Source organism: Homo sapiens, chromosome 4, assembly GCF_000001405.40.
Source record: "Homo sapiens chromosome 4, GRCh38.p14 Primary Assembly".
NCBI lineage: Eukaryota > Metazoa > Chordata > Mammalia > Primates > Hominidae > Homo > Homo sapiens.
The window spans coordinates 26,447,570-26,454,137 of NC_000004.12; the positions used below are offsets into that span (position 1 = coordinate 26,447,570).

At 43.3% G+C, this 6,568-nt stretch overlaps 1 annotated feature.

Annotated features, from left to right (window-relative positions):
* Window positions 5,302–5,840: an enhancer, noted in NCBI's record as "H3K27ac-H3K4me1 hESC enhancer chr4:26454493-26455031 (GRCh37/hg19 assembly coordinates)". NCBI's record gives its function as "activates a minimal SCP1, AML or CMV promoter by ChIP-STARR-seq in primed H9 embryonic stem cells {active_cell/tissue: H9 hESC(primed)}" and the evidence as "EXISTENCE:reporter gene assay evidence [ECO:0000049][PMID:30033119]".

The window sequence follows — 6,568 nt, forward strand, 5'->3', positions numbered from 1 at the left end:
TCTCTCTCTCTCTCTCTCTCTCTCTCTCTCTCTCGTCTCTCTCGTCTCTCTCTCTCTGTCTCAGAGTCTTGCTGTGTCATCTAGGCTGGAGTGCAGTGGTAGGATCTGGCTCACTGCAACCCCCGCCTCCCAGGTTCAGGCGATTCTCCTGCCTCAATTTTGTATTTTTAGTAGAGACAGGGTTTTGCTATGCTGGTCGGGCTGGTCTCCAACTCCTGACCTTAAGTGATCTGCCCACCTCGGCCTCCCAAAATGTGTTGCTGGGATTACAGGCATGAGCCACCATGCCCAGCCCTATCTCTGTTTTCTGATGATATGGTCATATACCTAGAAAACCACAAGATTCCAAGATTCCTCCAAAAGATTCCTAGATTTGATAAACAAATTCAGTAAAGTCTCAGGTTACAAGATCAATGTGCACAAATCAGTAGCACTGCTATACACTAATGATGACCAAGCTGAGAATCAAATGGAGAAGTCAATCCCTTTTACAGTAGCTGAAAACCAAAAGCAAAAAACACCCTAGGAATATACTTAACCAAGAAGGTGAGCTGTCTACAAGGAGAACTACAAAACACTGCTGGAAAAGAAACCATAGATGACACAAACAAATGGAGACACAAACAAATGGAAACACATCCCATGCTCATGGATAGGAAGAATCAATATCATGAAAATGACCATACTGCCCAAAGCATTTACAGATTCAATGAAATTTCTATCAAAATACCAACATCATTTTTCACAGAATTAGAAAAAAAAATCCTAAAATTTATATGGAACCAAAAAAGAGCCCAAATAGCCAAAGCAATCCTAAGCAAAAGCACAAATCTGGAGGCATCACATTATCTGACTTCAATTTTTACTATAAGGCTAATTAGTATAAAAGTAGATACACAGACCAATGGAACAGAATAGAGAACCCAGAAGTAAGGCAAAATACTTCAACTGATCTTCAACAAAACATACAAAAACATAAACTAGGGAAAGGACACCCTATTCAATAAATGGTGCTGGGAAAACTGGATAGCTACATGTAGAAGAATGAAACTGGATCCCTGTCTGTCACCATATACAAAAATCAACTCAAGATGGATAAAAAAACTTAAATCTAAGACCCCAAACCATAAAAAGTCTAAAAGAAAACCTAGGACCCTAAAAGCAAATGCAACAAAGACAAAAATAAATAAATGGGACCTAATTAAACTAAAAAGCTTCTGCATAGCAAAATAAATAAATACTCAACAGGGTAAACAGACAACCCACAGAATGGGAGAAAATTGTCACAAACTATGCATCTGACAAAGGACTAATATCCAGAGTCTTCAAGGAACTCAAATGAACAAAAAAAAAGTCTCATCAAAAAGTGGGCAAATGACATGAGTAGACGTTTCTCAAAAGAAGATAATACAGATGGCCAACAAATGTGAAAATATTCAACATCAAAATCAGGGAAATGCACACTAAAACCACAGTGAGATACCAGCTTACCCCAGCCAGAATGGCCATTATTAAAAAATAAAAAATAAAAAAAAATAGATGTTGGTGTGCATGTGGTGAAAAGGGAACACTTATCCACTGCTGGTGGGAATGTAAATCAGTACAGCCTCTATGGAAAACAGTATGGAGGTTTCTTTAAAAACGAAAAGTAGATCTACCATTTGATCCAGGAATCCCACTACTGGGTATCTACCAAATCATTATATTCAAAAGACACCTGCACACATATGTTTAAAGAAGTCATTATATTCAAAAGACACCTGCACACATACGTTTATTGCATCACAATTCACAGTTGATAAGGAACCAATCTAAGTGCCCACCACCCAATGAATGGATAATGTGGTGTATATACACCATGGACTACTACTCAGCCATAAAAAAGAATAAAATAATGTATTTTGCAGCAACTTGGGTGGAGATGGAGGCCATTATTCTAAGTAAAATAACTCAGGAATGGAAAACTATGTTCTGACTTATAAGTGGGAGCTAAGCTATGGGTACGCAAAGGTAGACAGAGTGGAAAAATGGACATTGGAGACAGAAGCAGGGAGGCTAGGAAGAGGGTGAGGGCTAAAAAAACTACATATTGGGTACAATATATACTACTCAGCTGATGAGTACACTAATCTCAAACTTCACCATTACACACTTCATCCATGTAACCAAAAACTACTTGTACCCCAAAAGCTATTGAAATAAAAAATAATAATAATAAACCCAAACCAGAAGTCACAGATTTGGGATGAGATTTTTGCAAGAAAAATCATGGAGAATGTAAATTACTGGGCACATTGTCAAAGAAAAGGCCTTAGCCCTATATCAAAGATCATTAATATGTATATGTTTAAGTTAAAACTTATACTATTTCCTGTTTTATGAATATTCCACTTTAGCTGATTTTTTTTTTCCACTCACTGACTCAAGATACTGATTGAGATGTGGAGGACAAAAGACAGAGGGTTCCTCCTGGAGTAAATGTATCATTCTTGTCCCGTAAACTAGGTACTGAGTCAGGGGCTTTACATATATCATCTTATTTAATCTTCCAAACCGCTCAGAGAAGCAGGTGTTATTATTTCTATTTTACAGGTTAGAAAATGATGCCTTAAGTAATTTACCTTAGATTCCACAGTTCAAAAGCGACAGAACTGGGATAGAAACCAAAATTTGATTCCAAAAGCCTTTGTTGCTCTCCTTACACCTCACAGGTTTTCATTGTTACGGGGGAGCTACAGGTGAGGCTTGAGACTCACCTAGGGCCTCTGAGCTGGTCCACAGCCCGGCTGCTGATCAAACCCAGCCTCGCCCAGTTGAGCTGCTCTCCATTCCATGTTTGTTTTAGTTTTGCTCCTGCTTTTGCAAGGGAAGCCCAGTACTCAAGGAGACAGGGCACAGTTAAGAAAACCAAGTTCTTGGAACAGGCCCAGATCTGTACCAGGCTCTGGGCTTGAACATGACTGCAGAAATGTCAGGAGTTGCTCCCGGAATGGATAATTGAGTCCAGGGAGGTGACTCTTTCTCTGTGTGGATTAACACATGACTATCTCCATTGCCTCCCTGTGGCCCGTAGTGGTGATGGTTGTCAGGAGTGCTGTGTGTCAAGAAGGACCATTCTCAGCAAACTAACACAGGAACAGAAAACCAAACATCGCGTGTTCTCACTTGTAAGTGGGAGTTGAAAAATGAAAACACATGGACACAGGGAGGGGAACATCACACAATGGGGCCTGTCGGAGGGTCAGAGGCAAGGGGAGGGAGAACATTAGGACAAATACCTAATGCATGCAGGGCTTAAAACCTAGATGATGGGTTGATAGGTGGAGGAAACCACCATGGCACATGTATACCTATGTAACAAACCTGCACGCTCTGTACATGTATCCCAGAACTTAAAAACAAGGATTCAGAGGCTGCATCTGCGGTTAACTAAAGGGCATTATGAGCAGTGATGCCTGGTGTGTGAGATGGAGACTATGCACAGACACCAGTTATTTTCCTTCCTTGGCCTTAGGTGACGGTTCTCAAACATGACCCTGCAACAGAATCACCTGAGGGTTAAAACTCAGATTACCCTTCCCCAGCGTTTCTCATTCAGGATATCTGGATTAGAGCCCAAGAAACTGTTTAAGAAGTTTCAGGTGAGCTGATGCGAATTCAGAGACCCCACTTTGAGAACCAGCAGTCTAGGGGTGTTAGCCTGTAACTACCTTTCCTTTGCCACTTTTTTTTCAATTGTGATTTGTATCTTCCTGCACTCACCTCCCAGCCCACCAGCCCATACACCAAAAGAAAAAAAAAAAAAGAAAAAAAGACCAAACGACCCAGAATACAGCTAGGCAGCTCAGGGGACAGGCGTAAACAGTTTTTTTGTTTGTTTTATTTTTCCCAAGTCAGGCCTGCATTTCAGCCCCTCACCTTCTGAGCTTAGGAAGGTCAGCTAGACACTCTGGCCTCTGTTTCTTCTGTAAAGGGGAAGATTGTGATAGATGGGCTCAAAGGTGACTTCTGGCTGGAAGTTTCTATGATCTATGACTGCTATCAAAAGCTTCAATGCTGCTACTAGAAAATAATCATCATCACTACTTGCTAAACACCTAAGGTGCCAGAAAGTGTGCTAAATACTTTACCTGCCTGATTGCATTTCTAAAACTTACAGCAACTCCGGAGAGCAGGACTTCTTATACCCATTTCATAGATGAGGAAACTGAGGCACAGAGAAGCTAAATGATGTGACTAAGGGGACGATGTCAATGATGTGAGAGCTGGGGAATTGTAGGGGCCGTTGGAGCATGGTATGGGAAAGGAACATGAACCTGAGAGGCACATATCTTTGAACTTTATCAGATTCAAGCTTCCTCACTCCCAGCTCTGTGGTTTTTGGACAGCTCACTTTATTATATTTCTCTAACCTTAAGTTTCCTCCTGTAAAATGGGGTAATGTTATCTGCCTTATTGAGGTTGCTGATAAACATAAAAAAACTGAATATGAAAAGTGCCTGGCATGAAGTTGACCCTCAGCTAATTCTAGGTTTGATCTGGGCAATGTGGAAACTCAGCTGTGTTTTGGGGTGGAAGGCAGACCTGCACATGGGAAGGAAGGTGGCTGAATTTTCACCCTACTGAGACTTATCCCTTGGTGGAGGAGGTGAGGGGCCTTCACCCATGTCTGAGCAGCCATCTGTATTCTCTAGTAAGAAGGGTGAATGCTCCCTGTTCTCAGCCTCCCAGAACCCATGTTTATCATCATGAATTAAGCTGCATAAAATTCAGGAAGCTCCTGGGGTAGCCGAGAATATAAAAGTTGAGCTGGGAGGAAGTTAAGATAGATCTCTCTGCCTTTGCTGTAGAAACAGACGCTCTGCTCAAGGGAGATTGTGCTAGGAATTTGAATCCCTGCAAAACACCGAGGCATTTCAAGCCACAGAAGGCTAACGAGGGGGATTTTTAGTAGAGGGAATGAATCCTGGGGGGAAAAGGATGAAGTGGAGCCTTCCACGATACACAGCACAGACAGGCTGAGTTACTGCTGGTGATGGAGCCAGAAAGTCAAGGACGTAGAATTTAAAGAGCCCTGAGTCAATAATGGAACCGGAATGGAGGATGCATCAGGGCTTATTGCCCCTCCTCCCCTCACCAGCCTTCTCACCTGCCCATTAGGAGGCAGCTTTCCCTGGGGAACAGGTGTGGCCATCAGCAAGCCATGTTTCTAAACAAGCTCACTGACTCCTTCCTCCCCTGGATGTGTCCTAATCAGCGTGAGACAAGTCAGAGTTTGAGGGTCACACAGGTGTGCAGGATCTCACAAATGCGGAACCAGCTAGACTAGAAGGGCCCCCGCACTGGGTTTTTCTCACGCAAAGCAAGGACAAGCAGAAGCAAGTAATGAAAATACATAAAAAGGTACAAAAGCAAATGTTGACATTAAACAGAAGACTCCTTTGAACCAGAAGAGGGACATGGGTAGCCAAACACAAGCCAGGCTCAAGTTTCCTGTCTCAGCAGGGGAATACGCTGAGATTAGCGGTATTGATTGTTCATTTATTTTTGAGATAATCAAGTTACAGGCTGATTATAAAATTGCATCTCAGCAGTGTGCCTTGACTTTTTTTTAAATCTCCCATTAGTCTGTCTGGGTCAGCCTGGCTGTGGTCACAGGGGGGCTGCCAGAGGCCCACACAGCAGCATGATACCCCTATACCTGTTGCTTCCCGAGGCCACCGAGGTCTCGTGAGTCAGGGCTTGTGACAAAGAGAACCTGCCACATCTGAGCCTGAACCCTGGCACACGAGGAAGCAGGCCCAGGAAATGAGATTGTCTCCATTCCCTGCTCCAGCTCCTCCTCTGTAGAAGCCCATTTGTGTAAACGGACGGTGCTGGACTGTGGATGTGCAGGGGTGTGTGGGCAGGAGCAGGGGCAGCAGGGCAGGTGACTGGACCTGAACATGCCTGCAGCCAGGGTAGGGAAGAAGTGTGCTATGAGCTGTGGAACCAAAGCCCCAGGGCAAGGCCACTTGGGATAGGCAGAGAGAGATGGGCCACTTCCTTTTGTTTTTTTTTTTTTTTTTTTTTTTTGAGACAGAGTCTCGCTGTTGCCCAGGCTGGAGTGCAGTGGTGCAATCTTGGCCCACTGCAAGCTCCACCTCCCTGGTTCAAGCAATACGTGTACCTCAGCCTCCCAAGTAGCTGGGATTACAGGCACGCGCCACCACACCCAACTAATGCACTTCCATTTTTTTGCAGCACCTTCCTTATATGTTACAGAGTGAAGGAATGCTTCCTAATCCCACAGCCAAGAGAAATGAAAATATGGGTTCCTGCAAAGAACAGTGGATGTTTAGAGCAGCTGTATTTATAATGTCCCCAAACTGGAAATAACCCAGATGCCCATCAACTGGCAAAAGAATAAACAAACTGTGGCTTATCCATGTGTGGTGGGTGGAGTGACGGCTCTTCCCAAAGTTATATCTGCGTGCTAATTCCTGGAAGCTGTAAATGTGACCTTTTTTGGAAAAGGGGTCTTTGCAGATGTAATTAAGGCTTTTGAGATGAGGCCATCTTGGATTGT